This window comes from Homo sapiens, chromosome 17 (assembly GCF_000001405.40).
Source record: "Homo sapiens chromosome 17, GRCh38.p14 Primary Assembly".
Classification (NCBI taxonomy): Eukaryota; Metazoa; Chordata; class Mammalia; order Primates; family Hominidae; genus Homo; species Homo sapiens.
In genome coordinates, this window is record NC_000017.11 from 63,894,822 (window position 1) to 63,911,644 (window position 16,823).

At 49.5% G+C, this 16,823-nt stretch overlaps 2 protein-coding genes across 10 annotated transcripts; both read right to left on the reverse strand.

Annotated features, from left to right (window-relative positions):
- CSH1 (chorionic somatomammotropin hormone 1) lies at nt 97-1,753 on the reverse strand. The gene is made up of 5 exons (NM_001317.6): nt 1,681-1,753; nt 1,254-1,414; nt 910-1,029; nt 652-816; nt 97-398 (listed from the first exon to the last, which is right to left on the reverse strand). Exons 1-5 carry the CDS (start codon nt 1,688-1,690, stop codon nt 201-203), a joined length of 654 nt encoding a protein of 217 aa, NP_001308.1. The 5' UTR covers nt 1,691-1,753; the 3' UTR covers nt 97-200.
- Nucleotides 14,787-16,437, reverse strand: CSHL1 (chorionic somatomammotropin hormone like 1). Of its 9 annotated transcripts, none has more exons than NM_001321069.2 (5): nt 16,366-16,437; nt 16,045-16,103; nt 15,599-15,718; nt 15,341-15,505; nt 14,787-15,087 (listed from the first exon to the last, which is right to left on the reverse strand). In NM_001321069.2, the coding sequence occupies exons 1-5, from the start codon at nt 16,373-16,375 to the stop codon at nt 14,890-14,892; spliced, it is 552 nt and encodes a 183-aa protein (NP_001307998.1). In that variant the 5' UTR covers nt 16,376-16,437; the 3' UTR covers nt 14,787-14,889. The 9 variants fall into 9 exon arrangements, with proteins under 9 accessions (NP_001307998.1, NP_001307997.1, NP_072103.1 ...); NM_001321068.2 differs by having other exon boundaries at nt 15,599-15,645; nt 16,041-16,103; NM_022581.3 differs by having other exon boundaries at nt 15,599-15,645; nt 15,924-16,103.

The window sequence follows — 16,823 nt, forward strand, 5'->3', positions numbered from 1 at the left end:
TTGAAGGCCCTCCAGGTCTTCTTTCCACCTACCCCTTGCTCCATACCACCACCTTCCACCCCATAATATTATAGAATGACACCTAGTCAGATGAAATGATACAACTTAATTTTATTAGGACAAGGCTGGTGGGCACTGGAGTGGCACCTTCAGGGCCAGGAGAGGCACTGGGGAGGGGTCACAGGATGCTACTCGGGCACCTAGAAGCCACAGCTGCCCTCCACAGAGCGGCACTGCACCATGCGCAGGAATGTCTCGACCTTGTCCATGTCCTTCCTGAAGCAGTAGAGCAGCCCGTAGTTCTTGAGCAGTGCGTCATGGTTGTGCGAGTTTGTGTCAAACTTGCTGTAGGTCTGCTTGAGGATCTGCCCAGTCCGGCGGCTGCCGTCTTCCAGCCTCTGCAAAGTGAAGGAAGAGAAGGAGAGGCCAAGCGCTTGGGCACTGTTCCCTCCCTCTCTCATTTATCCATTTTCCTCCCTCCCCTTCAGGGTGTAGAGAAAGGCCTGGAGGATTCACCAGGCGAAATGAAGAATAAGGTGAGTTCTCTTGGGTCAGCGCCTTACTGCTAAAAAGAGGGCAGCAGTATTTCTCTCCCCCAGCCCTCGAAGCCAGTGGGGTTCCAGGATTGGTGACCCCTGGCGCCACCCTCACCCCCATCAGCGTTTGGATGCCTTCCTCTAGGTCCTTTAGGAGGTGATAGTCATCGCTGTCCGAGGTGTCATACACCAGGTTGTTGGCGAACATACTCCTGAGGAACCGCACGGGCTCCAGCCACGACTCGATGAGCAGCAGGGAGATGCGGAGCAGCTCTAGATTCTGCAGGGGAAGGACCGGCAGTGGCTGTGCTGCCCGGGAGCCCTGACCACAGGTCTCCCCCATCCCCGCCTAGGGGAGACGGCATCCACTCACGGATTTCTGTTGCGTTTCCTCCATGTTGGAGGGTGTCGGAATAGAGTCTGAGAAGCAGAAGGAGGTCTGGGAGTCATGCAGGAATGAATACTTCTGGTCCTTTGGGATATAGGTTTCTTCCTAGGAGAAGGACCCCCCACCAAGAAGGACTGCTGGTTTCTATGCTGGAGACCAGCTCCCATTGTTGCTTTTCTGGGAACCTGGCTCAGCCTATGCTCATCTGCCTGCATTTTCGCTTCAGAAAACAACCCTGAGCTCCTTAGTCTCCTCCCATTACTTCCCCAGTGGGGGAAAGTCACCCCTTCTTGCCACCCCTGACCCGCACCCATTCCCCAAGAACTTACAAACTCCTGGTAGGTGTCAATGGCCAGCTGGTGCGCGCGATGGGCTTGGAGCATAGCGTGGTCAAAAAGCCTGGATAAGGGAACGGTTTGGACGGCACCAGCCTCTTGAAGCCAGGGCAGGCAGAGCAGGGCAAAAGCCAGGAGCAGGGACGTCCGGGAGCCTGGGGAGAAACCGGAGGGCAATGGAGGGAGCCGGAGAGGAAGAGGCCAGCGCTCTCCCTGCTCCAGGAGCTGTTTGTTTTTTTTCTCTCTCTCCATCCCTCCAGAGACCAGGAACATTCAGAGATTGGCCAAATATCTGGCCTTAGATGGCGATACTCACATTCATAAGCCCCAAACCTGAGGGTTAGTGCCCCCGTCCCATCTACAGGGCGCTGCCTCTCCCCTCAGGACACGTTGTGCCCAAAGGGATTTTAGGGGCGCTTACCTGGAGCCATTGCCACTAGGTGAGCTGTCCACAGGACCCTGAGTGGTTCGGGGAGTTGGGCCTTGGGATCCTAGAGCCGGTCTCTTGTGGGCCCTTTTTATACCCTGGCCAGTTCTCTCTCCCTGCTTGACCCCACCTGTTTCTGTGTACATTTATGCATGGGGCCACTGACGGGCTTGTGCTAGTGGATAATTTAGAAGCTCCTCCCACACATGCTGGGATCATGCCCCCTGGCTTGTCGTCTTTCCCTTCTCACCATCACCAGTGTTGTAAGGATTGTGCACAGAGTGTCAGCCACAGACTCCACCCAACTTGTCCTCTCTTTAAGGGTCAGGTGGGTGCCCTCTGGCTGCAGGCCATGTTGGTCAACCTGAACGCGGGGAAGGCTGTCAGGATAGCCAGTCCTTGAGACCCCTACCGACCCCATTCCACTCTCTATCCTATTCCTTTCCTCCTCCCCGCGTGTTTAACTTCCACCCACCAGACAGAATGTGTGTGTTGGGAAAAGGGGCCAAGCACAGCCAATAGATTGTGGGGGTTCTGAGCACCATTGAGTCCTGAATTCCACTTTTGCTGATGACTCCTGGGCCCACCTGAGTCAGCTGGATGCAGTGCTAACACTGACCACTAGAGAGAACCAACCCCACACATTGCTCTCCCCTTTCCCTGAACCTTGGGGCGGAGGCGGTGGGGCTCCCCCAGGTCCCTGGGGATGAATAACCCAGACTCAAGGTATTGCCCCAGCTCCTTGGACCTGAAGCAGAGATACAAACCAAGAAACAGAAATCCCGGGAACAGACACGGACCACAAGCGCTTCCTCCCATAGTCCTGAAACCAACAGAGAATCTCAAAGTTGGAAGAGCTCTTGAAGATTTGAGTCTCTTCCCCAGCTTTAAAACTCAGAACACATCACGCCGAAAGAGGCCCTATCCAGCCATGGAAGCCCGTCCTCTTTTGTCTCTTCCTCCTTTCCAGACCTGTGTAGAGCTTATCCAGTTGTCAAAGGCCTGCCTGTGCATTCTCACGTCTGACCTGCAACTTGTCTTGTGTAGGAGGTATGAGTATCATCCCATTTCACAGATCAGGAGACTGAGGCTCAGAGAGACTGATTGCATGAGCTACCTCAGCCAGGGCAGCAGATCTCCACAACCTGGCTCTTCCCACATTGCGTCATTTAAAGTCCTTTCTCCAGGCCGGGCATGGTGGCTCATGCCTGTAATCCCAGCACTTTGGAAGACTGAGGTGGGTGGATCACTTGAGGTCAGGAGTTCAAGGCCAGACTAGCCAACATGGCAAAACTCCATCTCTTAAAAATACAAAAGTAGCTGTGTGTGGTGGCAGAAGCCTGCAATCCCAGTTACTCCGGAGGGTGAGGAGGTAGAATCGCTTGAACCCAGGACTCAGAGGTTGCCGTGAGCCAAGATTGGGCCATGGCACTCCAGCCTGGGCGCCAGAGTGAGACTCCATTTCAACAACCACAACAACGACAACAACAACAACAACAACAACAAAAGTCCTTTCTCCAGAGCAGGTGGTGTGGTGCTACTCAGTTATTTAGTTATTTTAGTTTCCTTTCTTTCTTTCCTTCTTTCTTTCTTTCTTTCTTTCTTTCTTTCTTTCTTTCTTTCTTTCTTTCTTTCTTTCTCTCTCTCTCTCTCTCTCTCTCTCTCTCTTTCTTTCTTTCTTTCTTTCTTTCTCTCTTTGTCTTTCTTTCTTTCTTGTTTTTGATGGAGTCTCATTCTGTCTCTGAGGCTGGAGTGCAGTGGCATGATGTTGCCTCACAGCAACCTCCACCTCCTGGGTTCCAGTGATTCTCCCGCCTCAGCCTCCCTAGTAGCTGGGATTACAGGCGCCCGCCACTATGCCGGGCTAAGTTTTGTACTTTTTAAATAGAGACGGGGTTTCACTATGTTGGCCAGGCTGGTCTCGAGCTCTTGACTTTAGGTGATCCACCCTCCCTGGCCTCCCAAAGTACTGAGATTACTGGCATGAGCCACCGCTCCCAACCCAGTTATTTCAGCTTCTATATCCCTCTGAGTGCAGGGATCCTGCCCCCAACACAAGGGGCCCTTTGCCTGATTTTGTCTTTCCATAAGGGGCAGATTGTTCTTTCTCAATTCTCAGGTGAGAATGGCCCAGTGGCATGGGGTGCCTTGTGGAAACCTCACAGCAGGAAAAGGTGAAGGCAGAGAAGGCCAGGACTGAGCCTCCTGTCTCCTGGTGCCCAGAGTTGGGGCTATTTCAATATAATCTGGAGGTCACAAGCATCAGATGCCCCCAGAGATGGCAGCAGGAAAGAGCACCCTCTCTAGTGGTGAAATCTTCCCCCCGAGTTTAAGAGCATCTAGCACTTGACTCTGTAGAAACACAAGCAAACAAACAGGCAAACGCTTCCAGAAGTGGTTGGCAGTGGTGTTGGCAACCAACATTGAACACCCACACCCCTGTGGCCTAGGATGTGAATGCTGGGGCCCTGCCATCTCCCCACTTTCAGAGCAGAAAACAGAGCTCCTTTTTCTGCCGTCATTCCTGAAGCATTACTGGACTAGCACCCCAGACTCATCATCTGCTGGGAGGGCACTGTGCTGTGAGCTGTTCTCCAGGCAGGCCTGTAGGAGGATCCAAGAGGGGTGTCATCGATGATACCAGCTCTGAGAAATATGGGGTCAAGGGAGGGTGGAGTCACCACTTTCCCCTGCTCCTTCCAGCACCAGCAAAGAGGAGGAGCCAGGTGGGAATGGAAGAGGGTCCCTGAGCTCCAAGTAGAAGAGGGTCCCTGCCTCCCCCACCATCCTTCCTCCAATGTCAGCTGGGACAGGGAGCCCCCATGACAGGGTCTTTTAGCCAGTGCTGGGGACTTAGATGTGGATTTTTGGCCATGGAAGAAGTCTGCAGCCTCCCTTAGGAAAGAGGGTGGCAGGGGCCCTAGTTGGGGACCACTACATAACTCCGCAGGTGGGCACACGGGTGGCGAGGCTCCCCATGCAGGTTACTGCCAGGAACATGTGGGACCTGCCAGGGCAGGGGAGTGTCTCCTCTCACCTCTCCATTTCTGTTGACCGCAGAATTATGGTGACTCAGAGGACTCTAGGAACCCCTGGGGAAACACCTTTGTAAGGGGTTACCATGCCAACCATGGACCAGAGGGAAGAACTGAGGCCCACAGGTGTGGGTAGAAGTCAATGATCATTTTCTCTAGTCTAGATCTTCCCAGAGCCTTGAGCAATGGAGACCATGTCTATCATTCATTGCTGGTAAAAAATCAACTTTGAATTAGACTTGGGATTCCCCTGACAGTACTGGGAAGTCGCTCACTGTTGGGGCATCACTTGAGGCCAGATCCCTGGCTGCTGCAGGCTGAGAGACTACCCAACAAGAGCCTCTATGTGGCCAGTGGGGAGAGGCTGCGCTTTGCACCTCTGGCGTCAGCTTCAAAAGGCTCAGGATAGGCCGGCGTGGTGGCTCATGCCTGTAATCCCAACACTTTGGGAGGCTGAGACATGTGGATCACCTGAAGTCAGGAGTTTGAGACCAGCGTGGCCAACATGGTGAAACTGATCTCTACTAAAAATAGAAAAATTAGCGGGGGTGGTGGCATTTGCCGATAATCCTAGTTACTGGAGCGGCTGAGGCACGAGAATTGCTTGAACCCGGGAGGCAGAGGTTGTCATGAGCCGAGATCACACTACTGCACTCCAGCCAGGGCGAAGAAGTGAGACTGACTTTGTCTCAAAAACAAGCAAACAAACAAAGAAAGAAACAAACAAAACAACGAAAAAACCAAAAAGAAAAGTAGAAAAATCCTCATCTCTGAGTTCACTGTTACCTAGCTCCTTACCCACCGAGAAACAAACATGGGAAGCAGGGGCCCCAGGGCCACCATGGACAGAGCAGCATTATATTTTAGTCCAAATCCATAAGAACACCCTAGGTTTCATCTGGGACTCCCTGCCCATACGGAAAGTGGGAAAGAAGAGTTGGCTCAAAGCAGGGAGCTGCTAGTGCTCCCTTGGGAAGGAAAGCTGTTGGGTGAAGGGGACAGCATTTGGGTGAGGGGAGGAGAGGGAGCAGGGGGTGAAGGTAGGGAGGGAGTGTGGTGCACTGAACTCAGCTCTTTGGGAAACTGTTTTTGCAGACAAGCCATGGTTAGAGGAATCCAGTTGCTCTGCCAAACAGACCTGGCTGGAAGGGATGGAACACACGCTCGCCTGCGTCCCAAAGGGAAACCCAGCTCCAGCCTTGGTGTGTACCTGGAATGGGGTGGTCTTTGACCTTGAAGTGCCACAGAAGGCAACCTAGAACCACACTGGAACCTACTGCTGCACAGCCACTAACCAGCTGGGCTCTGTCAGCAAAGACATTGCTGTCATTGTTCAAGGTAACCTTTGCTGCCCTGCTGCCAGGCCCAGGATGGAAACCCCTCAGGGGTTTGGGATTCTTATCCAAGCATGAAAATAAGAAAGATTCTACTAGGTTGGGAAGAATGAGACTCAGAAGTGGGCCTGGTGGGCTGGGGTGGGTGATCTTTGTACTCTCAGACTTTCCTAACTCTATCTTCTGTGCTTGGGCAGGACTGGATGAAGGAATCAGCTCTACCCTCTTTGTCATTATTACCGTTGCCCTTGGAGTGGGTGTCATCACCATAGCACTGTATTTGAGCTATCGGCCCTGCAAAGTAGACAGGAAGAAATTGCTCTACAGGCAGAAAGAGGAGGACAAAGAGGAGGAAAGCCAGTTTGCTGTTCAGGAAGAGAAAAGTGCAACTCATATAATTGACAGCTATTTGATTGAATGAGAGTTCTGCTACTGTGGTTTCCCAGGGATGGGAGAAGGGATAGAGGAGAAAGGAAGAAACACAATGGCAGGCTGCATTCCTATTTGTGTACATCTGTCCTGTAAAACGGTGTTTCAGGCCCCCATGCCCCATGTCCTGTGTGTCCAATATGTCCACAATCTCACCATTCTCTCTCTCTCTCTTTTTTTTTTTGAGATGGAGTCTCACTGTTGTCGCCTAGGCTGGAGTGCAATGATGCGATCTCGGCTCACTGCAACTTCAGCCTCCTGGGTTCAGGTGATTCTCCTGCCTCAGCCTCCCCAGTAGCTGAGATTACAGGTGCATACCACCATGCCTGTCTAATTTTTGTATTTTTCGTAGAGATGGGGTTTCACCATGTTGGCTAGGCTGTTCTCAAACTCCTGACCTCAAGTGATCCGCCCACCTTGGCCCCCCAAAATGCTGGGATTACAGGTGTGAGCCACTGCACCCAGCCACCTTTCTCTTTAGAGCTCACCCTAGTCATTAGGAATCTCAGTCTCAATGTTTGATTTGTAAGAAGGCCTCTTGCTCCTTGCCAGGTGCTTCATCAGTCCACTCTTAGATCCAAAAAAAAAAAGAAAAGATCTTGCCGTTTCTTCATGGTTCTCACTGCCCTTTTCTCTTAAACATCATACTACAGTCAGGCATATCTTAGAAATACAACTCATATTTCATGGGTTTTTGATTACTAACTGGGAGCTAAATTTGTAGTCCATGGACAGGACTTTGAAGGGAGTAAGTATCAAATATGGGGCCAGGAATCAGAGCTCTGTTCCCATCTCCACTTTCCCTTGCTCCCCTGACCTGGGCTTCTGGAGTGCCAGCTCCCAGAGCTGAGCTTGTTGACATCATTAAGGATCAGTGGCAAGCTGCAACTCAGTAACCATCTGTTGTGGGTCTTGGGGGAGTATACAGATGGTAAGAAATTCCACTTCGGGCCAGACAAGCATCGTATCTAGCCCAGTGTTCTGTCTCTGAAGTAGAAGGTAGAGTTCTTCCATGAAATTGGCCTCTTAGGTTAAGAGCTCCAAACATCTCTGAATTCCTTTTCATAGAGTGATCAACTGTGAGTTCGCATTTGCCAGTTTTCTTTTTTTTACCCATATAGGTGTCTAGGTTAGAGTTGCAATGTTTACTCTCTGTTTTCATCAAGAAGTGCATATTTTTTTCTGACTGTAAACAATTTCCTTGAAGCTTCAAGAGGAATCCTCTTGTGAAAATGTTCATATGATTTTATGGTTCAGCCTCCTTCCCTGTCCTTCGGAAAGAGTATATTCACCCTCGGAGAAGGCGTGAGGAATCACAAAACCAGATCTTTTCTCCCAAGTCAGTCAAGAAATGTTCACTGGAATGTTGCTATGGTAAAAATAAAAGTGGTTTTATGATGTCCAAATGCAGTTCCCTTCCCTTCTGTGTCATTGCTGAAAGCTCTTGTTATGTCAAATGGTTGCATTTTATCACTTTTTTTTTTTTTCAGATGCAGTCTCGCTCTATTGCCCAGGCTGGAGTGCAATGGCGTGATTTTGGCTCACTTCCACCTCTACCTCCTGGGTTCAAGGATTTCTCTGCCTCAGCCTCCCAAGTAGCTGGGATTACAGGTGCCCATCACCATGCCCAGCTAATTTTTTGTATTTTTAGTAGAGACAGGGTTTCACCATCTTGGCCAGGCTGGTCTTGAAGTCCTGATCTCGTGATCCACCCACTTCGGCCTTCTAAAGTGCTGGGATTACAGGTATGAGCCACCGCTCCCGGCTGCATTTTATAACTTTAAGTACAATTTCTAAGGAAAAAATACCGTGTTGATAGCATAAACAACCAGCCCGGGGCAGGGGGTGCATTAGCTCAGGGTGGCAGCCTATGTAAACTGCTTTCAAAACTGAAATTCAGGCCGGGGCGGTGGCTCAGCGTGTAATCCCAGCACTTTGGGAGGCTGAGGCGGGCGAATCACTTGAGCCCCAGAGTTTGCGAATAGCCTGGGCAACATGGCAAACCCCATTTCTACAAAAAACACAAAACTTAGCCAGGTATAGTGGCACGTGCCTGTAGTCCCAGCTACTTGAGAGTCTGAGGTGGGAGGATCACTTGGGCGCGGGAGGTGGAGGGTTGCAGCGAGTTGAGATCATGCACTGCACTCCAGCCTGGGTGACATAGCCAGACCCTGTCTCAAAAGCAAAACAAAGGAAACACAAGCAAAAAGAAAAGCTAAAGTTCAGACTTCCAGATAGAGAGAGGTCCATAGCTTTCCAAATTGCAGATACCAGCTAGAAAAAACCATGGCATCAGACAGCAGAGGGAAAACGTTTTCCCATTCTTCCCAGACCTCCCCTGAGTCTGGTGCTATAGATTAAGTGTAAAAGTAACCCTTTGGTTTCACCACATACAAGGCAGTGGGGATACAGTGGTGAACAAAACATTGTTCCTGGCTTCCACAAATTTATTAGGAAAGCAAGACAAACAAGTAGGAGATTACATTTGTGCATGAACTCCTATGACTGGGAAAACAGATTGTTAAGAGAAAGCATAACTCGAATCAAGGAAGGCTTCCTGGAGGGACACGAAATATCTTGACTTTATAAAATAGCATCATCCCCGAACATGACCTTTTCAACCTCAATGTTTCCACTAGGTGGAGCTACTGCTCCTTCATCATGTGAGTCTAATATAAATCATCCACCTTCCCTGAATTGAGCATTTGGGGAAGTAAGTTAAGAAGCAGGTTTAAGAGACAGGAGTATACAGCCACACCATGCAGGGATCCACAGCCATTTTGGTGTCAGGATCAGTCGCATCAGGGCTGTAGATATCCTGTATCTGCAAACCCTGCCTCATGGCCTCAGTGCCTTGAAGCACAGCGAATCCAACAAGGAAGGGGAAAATGAGCCAGGCATGGTGGTGTGCACCTGTAATCCCAGCTACTGGGGAGGCTGAGGCAGGAGAATCGCTTGACTGTGGGAGGCAGAAGTTGCAGTGATCCGAGATCGTGCCATTGCATTCCAGCCTGGGCAACAAAGCGAGACCCCATCTTGAACAAAACAAAAACAAAAGCAAACAAAACCAAAAAGGGAGGAAGAAGGGGGCCACTTGGACTTTCTAGTTCCAGCAGGGCGAGCCTGGAGGCTCAGCCGGCTGCTGCCTTTGCTTCTCACTGCTACAGGGTGTCAGTGTTGACAGATGGTCCCACACAGTACCCTCAAACCAAGCGGGTCTGCAGATCTGGGTTCCCACCTGCTGTAGATCTCTGAGGGAGGATGATCTGCTTCTTCGGGGCCTGGTCCAGCTCTGCAGGTGTCCTCTTGCTGGGGTTTCCAGCTTTCCAGTTCTTAGAGCTCAGTAGTTTGGATGAGCCGTCCCGCAAAGCTCTTCAGAGTAGGCTGGGCTTTTTCCCTTGTAGACTTGGAACCTCTGTTCACTTTCCTTCCCGAAGGATCCACACAACCAGAGATCAGGCAGGCCTTTCTCATTGATTCTTTTTTTTTTTTTGGAGACGGAGTCTCGCTCTGTCTCCCAGGCTGGAATGCAGTGGCACGACCTCGGCTCACTGCAACTTCTGCCTCCTGGCTTCAAGCAATTTTCCTACCTCAGCCTCTGGAGTAGCTGGGATTACAGGTGTGCACCACCACACCTGGCTAATTTTTGTGTTATTAGTAGAAACAGGATTTCGTCATGTTGGCCAGGCTGGTCTCAAACTCCTGACCTCAGGTGATCTGCCCACCTCGGCCTCCCAAAGTGCTGGGATTACAGGAGTGAGTCACCACGCCCGGCTTCATTGATTCTTAAAGCAAGAAGGATCTCATATCTCTTTTCCAGTATAATAGAGCTTCTAAGGGTAGTTGCCTTCATTGTCTATAGGAGGAGGCCCCACCCTCTAAATGGTTTTGATCATATTCTTTCTGAACATTAAAGCAACCAGCTCATACTTAAATTGCAGCTACCTTGATTATCTCCAGAGGAAGAGTGGCCTTTAATACTCCAAAATTTTATCTTCTTTCTTATTATTTTTGAGAGAGAATCTTCCTCAGCCACCCAGCTGGAGTGCAGTGGCTTGATGGGCCCAGCCCAACACTGCCTCCCGGGCTCAAGCGATTCTCATGCCTTCGTAGCTGGGAATACAGGTGTGCACCACCACACCTGGCTAATTTTTGTATTTTTTAGTAAGAGACGGGGTGCCACCATGTTGGCCAGGCTTATCTCGAACTTGTGACCTCCTCCCGCCTCAGCCCTCCAAAGTGCTGAGATTACTGGCGTGAGCCACAGTGCCTGGCCATTTATGCTCTCAAGGATGGTCAGGGTGACATTCTGGTGTCTTTCTCTCTAGACCTGAGAAAGCATAAGTTACATCGTTAGTGGGACTTCTTACCATAGGATTAATAATAGTATTTACCTTAGAGAATTATAGTTAGAAAGAAATGACATAATACTTGTAATAAACTAGCATGGTGCTGGAGACATGTGTTCACATTTGTTGGTTTTTATTATTACACTGATAATTCTAGTGGTAATTAAGCACATCATTATAATCACAGTAAACTCAAAGCAAGAATCAGAAATCCATGATAACCATGAGGGCCATCAAAGGTCATATACACTGTGCACAGCTTTCCGGTTTTTCTAGTCTTTTTCTTGCTCCTTCCCCTACTTTCCCCCCAGTTTGGTGCCCTAAGATTTAGGACTACTAATAGGGTGACCAGTCCTGTGAGCTGAGTTTGCATTGAGCTGAGGGATTCCTGGAAGGAACGTGGGACTTTCAGTGTTGACATTGAGAAAGTCTCCTGCAAACCAGGACGAGTTGGTGACCCTAATCCCAGAGGTACTCATTGTGTGCCTCAGCACTCCAGGGCCTTCTGAATTAAAGAAGCATCCAGGCAAAGTGTCAGCTTGTCTTGGCTGAGAAGCCCAGACCCTACAATTCAGAAGAAAAAGGAAGGGGTCAGTTCTGCTCTCAACTGTGTATAAAGGGACAAAACCAACCATGTGTATTTCAACAATGCTCATGGAAGATATTCAGAAGTGGTCATTTTAGGTTAGGGTAAATTCAAAAAAATGACAGAGTCAGTAAAACATTATGCCAGGGGTCAAGGATGACTGGAGCTCTGCCTGCTGAACTCTTCCCTGTGCGAGTCTCGATAATCTTATCTTCAGGAAGAGTTTTCATTAGAAAATACCATTAAGGGCCAGGCCTGGTGGCTCCCGCCTGTAATCCTATCACTTTGGGAGGCCAAGGAGGGTGGATCACCTGAGGCCAGGAGTTTGAGACCAGCCTGGCCAACATGGCGAAACCCTGTCTTTACCAAAAATACAAAAATCTGCCCTGTGTGGTGGTGCACACTTATAATCCCAGCTACTCAGGAGGCTGAGGCATGAGAATCACTTGAACCCGGGAGGAGGCGGAGGTTGCAGTGAGCCAAGATCCCACCACTGCACTCCAGCCTCTGTCTCAAAAACAAAAACAAAAACAAAAGAAACTATTAACAATTTTTAGTTGTGAGAAGATATAAACATTTCCATCTTAACCATTTTACGTGTACAGTTCGGTCACGTCAAGTACATTGACATCGTCATGCAACCCTCACCACCAACCATCTCCAGAACCCTTTTCATCTTGCACAGCTGAAACCCTGTGCTCGTTAAATGGCTCCCTATTCCATCCCTCCCCACAGCCACTGGCAGCCACCATCCTACTTTTTGTCTCTACGAATTTGACTGCTCTGAGTACCTCATCTAACTGGAATCAGAGAGTATTTGTCTTTCTGTGACTGGCTCACGATAAACACTTTTTAGATGACTGGTTGGAATTAGGAGCAGGTGGCACCACAACTGGCCCAGGCCTCTCGTCTCCTTTTTCTCCGTTTTCCCTGTTCCACCAATACAACAGCTGTGAACACATGGGTCTCATCTTTGCGGTCCCTAACACAGTGGTTCTCAACCTTGTTTACATGATAGAATCACCTGGGAAAGTTTTCAAACTACTCTTGCCTGGACCACATTCCAGGCTAATTATATCAGAATCTCAGGGAGTGAGGGCTCACGAATGCATCGTTTAGAAAACACCCTAGGCATCTCAAATTTGCAGCGGAAATTGCCGTCCACACCAAGTTGATGAGCTGAAAGGTAGACTAACAGTAGGTAAATCAAAGAGTTTAAAGCAGATGGTCTTTAAGGTCTTTTTATATTCTAAAATGTGCAAAGTCAGGTAGTATCTTTCTAATTCTCAACCAGCAGTGGTTGAGTGGATTCTCCTATACCCGAGGGGAGCTGGGTGGACAGTCTCTGGCGTGTGGCTCCCCCTGCAGTTCAGTTATATGTTATGACCACCCCACTTTAGAACCCTCTTAGCCACCCAAGTAGGCGCTGGACATTGTCATTCCACTGTCACGTGCATTCAACAAATACTTATTAAGATGGCTCACATTTCCTTTTAAAACACGCAAGCCGAGAGATAATTATAATTGTGCTCATTCCATCGACTTCTAAAGACTGAGATTTCTAAATAATTTTAAGGCCAAATGAAGGACATTGCAGGAATATTGATTCCAGCTTTGTGCAAGAAATAGTTTTCTGCAATGAGAGTGGTTTATTAGAATGAAGAGCCTTGTGAAAGGGATTCCCTTGGTTCTAGTGCTACACACTTGTAATTGGAATACTGACTGTAATGGACGCTGTAGGATAAGATTCCCAAAGTAGAAGAAACTAGACTGACTTATGAGGCCCTTCTAACTCCAAAATGCCGTAATTTTAAATTCCAATAGTAGAAGAACAACGTAAGATGCAGGAATGTCTTCTGAGCTGAGAAATGCAGCAGCTCTAGAGTTCTGATTAGTTCAGCTTTGAACCACTTCCCAAGGACTGAGTTATTAACTGCAAAATAGCCAAAAATGAACACAAGTGGGTCTCGTTATCAAAAAAATTCATTATGGCACATAAGAATCAGAACTTCTAAAGAAGATTAATTAGGGGGTTGATTATTTGCATTGTAAAATAATTCCTGACTTCATGAAATCATTTTTGGATACTAGAGTTCCTGTGAGCATCTTAGTATAGATTTAGGTCACCAGTCACTTAGCCAAGGTGCTTGGGAGAGTAAACTCTTAACTAACCACCGCTCTTTAGTGCTTATTTGGAAATAATAAACATCTCAGATGTTTATTATTATTATAAAACATCCAAAAATTCAATGCAGAAATAACTACAATTTCTTCAGTACTATAATATGTCAAAAATACCATTGCATTTAATCCTCACATAATCCTTGTAAAGCAATATATTATTATCTCAGCTTGGTCAAGTAATTTATTCAGCGACACTAAATTGCATACAGCCCAAATCTTTCTGATTCTTTCCCTTACACCAAATTACCCCAATCAACATCTCTTAGAACAAAATTGCTCACAGACAGCTTGGAGACCATGTGTGTTTGGGTTAATTTTTGCCCTTAAAAGATTTTCAGTATGTGTTGCCATTATTTAAATATTAGATTTCCCGTAACAGTCTGGATGTCCTGGCTGTCTCAAAGAATCAGAAGGTCTGGAAGCCGTGTCCCTGCAGTCCTGATGGTGACAGGCGGGCTGGGTCCCACCTCAGCAGGGGCTTGAGTTCTGCAGATTGTGCTGGTTCCCACCCTTCTGTGTTGCATCCCCTGAAGGGAAGCGAGTGTCATCTGGGATTTATCCCCTGCCATCCAGCCCTCATTGCTTACGTTGTTATCTACCTGGCACCTGTTGGCACTGCATTTACAACCCGCAAATAAAATCTCTCTTCCACTTCCCTTGCCCTAATTCAGATTCCAAATGCTCTGGTTCCATATGTCTCAAACTCATTTTTGCATTGTTCTCATTTCCCGAGAGTAGTTGGGCTTAAGGAATATTCATCTTAAAATTCTTCCGAACACAAGTAATTCTATGCCATTGTTTCCTCACCTGTTGGGGAGTTTTTGCCTCTGCACTTAATAGCCCATCTTGTTTTCATTTCTTCCCGCTCCTGGGGGGCTAGGTTTGGTGTTGCTGGTGATGGTGGGGGAGGAAGAAATGCCTTCAAGTCATCTCTGGGATGACCAATGAGCTATGACCAGCAAGCTGGGACCACTGAGCTGGTGGAATGGCCTTAGTGAGTAATAGACAGCAGTGATATGTCAGCCTTTTTCTGGCCCAGGAACAGCCAAACCTCTTATATTTCAGTGGCCTAGTTCCCAATAGACCCTGAAGGCCCTCCAGGTCGTCTTCCCACCTACCCCTTGCTCCATACCACCACCTTCCACCCCATAATATTATAGAAGGACACCTAGTCAGATGAAACAATACAACTTAATTTTATTAAGACAAGGCTGGTGGGCACTGGAGTGGCACCTTCAGGGCCAGGAGAGGCACTGGGGAGGGGTCACAGGATGCCACGCGGGCCCCTAGAAGCCACAGCTGCCCTCCACAGAGCGGCACTGCACCATGCGCAGGAATGTCTCGACCTTGTCCATGTCCTTCCTGAAGCAGTGGAGCAGCCCGTAGTTCTTGAGCAGTGCGTCATGGTTGTGCGAGTTTGTGTCAAACTTGCTGTAGGTCTGCTTGAGGGTCTGCCCAGTCAGGTGGCTGCCGTCTTCCAGCCTCTGCAAAGTGAAGCAAGAGAAGGAGAGACCAAGCGCTTGGGCACTGTTCCCTCCCTCTCTCATTTATCCATTTTCCTCCTTCCCCTTCAGGGTGTAGAGAAAGGCCTGGAGGATTCACGAGGGGAAATGAAGAATAAGGTGAGTTCTCTTGGGTCAGCGCCTGACTGCTGAAAAGAGGGCAGCAGTGTTTCTCTCCCCCAGCCCTCGAAGCCAGTGGGCTTCCAGGATTGGGGACCCCTGGTGCCACCCTCACCCCCATCAGCATTTGGATGCCTTCCTCTAGGTCCTTTAGGAGGTGATAGTCATCGCTGTCCGAGGTGTCATACACCAGGTTGTTGGTGAAGGTACTCCTGAGGAACCGCACGGGCTCCAGCCGCGACTCGATGAGCAGCAGGGAGATGTGGAGCAGCTCTAAGTTCTGCAGGGGAAGGACCGGCAGTGGCTGTGCTGCCCGGGGGCTCTGACCACAGGTCTCCCCCATCCCCGCCTAGGGGAGACAGCATCCACTCACGGATTTCTGCTGCGTTTCCTCCATGTTGGAGGATGTCGGAATAGAGTCTGAGAAGCAGAAGGAGGTCTGGGAGTCATGCAGGAATGAATACTTCTGTTCCTTTGTGATATAGGCTTCTTCCTAGGGGAAGGACCCCCCACCAAGAAGGACCACTGCTTTCTATGCTGGAGACCAGCTCCCACTGTTACTCTTCTGGGAACCTGGCTCAGCCTATGCTCATCTGCCTGCATTTTCGCTTCAGAAAACAACCCTGAGCTCCTTAGTCTCCTCCCATTACTTCCCCAGTGGGGGAAAGTCACCCCTTCTTGCCACCCCTGACCCGCACCCATTCCCCAAGAGCTTATAAACTCCTGGTAGGTGTCAATGGCCAGCTGGTGTGCGCGATGGGCTTGGAGCATAGCCTCTTTAAAAAGCCTGGATAAGGGAACGGTTTGGACGGCACCAGCCTCTTGAAGCCAGGGCAGGCAGAGCAGGGCAAAAGCCAGGAGCAGGGACGTCCGGGAGCCTGGGGAGAAACCGGAGGGCAAGAAGGGAGCCGCAGAGCAAGAGGCCAGCACTCTCCCTGTTCCAGGAGCTGTTTTCTTTTTCTCTCTCTCCATCCCTCCAGGGACCAGGAACATTCAGAGATTGGCCAAATATCTGGCCTTAGATGGCGATATTCACATTCAGAAGCCCCAAACCTGAGGTTAGTGCCCCCGTCCCATCTGCAGGGCGCCGCCTCTCCCCTCAGGACACGTTGTGCCCAAAGGGATTTTAGGGGCGCTTACCTGCAGCCATTGCCGCTAGGTGAGCTGTCCACAGGACCCTGAGTGGTGCGGGGAGTCGGGCCTTGGGATGCTGGAGCTGGTCTCTTGTGGGCCCTTTTTATACCCTGGCCCCTTCTCTCTCGCTGTTGCCCCCACCTGTTTCTGTGCACATTTATGCATGGGGCCACTGACGGGCTTGTGCTAATGGATAATTTGGAAGCTCCTCCCACACATGCTGGCATCATGTCCCCTGGCTTGTCATCTTTCCCTTCCCACCGTCACCAGCGTTGTGAGGGTTGTGCACAGAGTGTCAACCACAGACACCACCCAACTTGTCCTCTCTTTAAGGTTCAGGTGGGTGCCCTCTGGCAGCAGGCCATGGTGGCCAACCTGAATGCGGAGAAGGATGTCAGGATAGCCAGTCCTTGAGACCCCTATCGACCACATCCCACTCTCTATCCTATTCCTTTCCTCCTCCC

Bases quoted from the DNA above. Each gene is read 5' to 3' on its own strand.
- CSH1 (NM_001317.6), bottom strand. The intron at 1,030-1,253 runs GTAAGTTCTTGG...TCCTTCTCCTAG, and splicing joins TTGACACCTACCAGGAGTTT to GAAGAAACCTATATCCCAAA. The intron at 399-651 runs GTGAGGGTGGCG...TTCACTTTGCAG, and splicing joins GCATCCAAACGCTGATGGGG to AGGCTGGAAGACGGCAGCCG.
- CSHL1 (XM_011524344.2), bottom strand. The intron at 15,715-15,923 runs GTGCGGGTCAGG...TCCCCTAGGAAG, and splicing joins TATAAGCTCTTGGGGAATGG to AAGCCTATATCACAAAGGAA. The intron at 15,506-15,598 runs GTGAGTGGATGC...CTTCCCCTGCAG, and splicing joins AGGAAACGCAGCAGAAATCC to AACTTAGAGCTGCTCCACAT.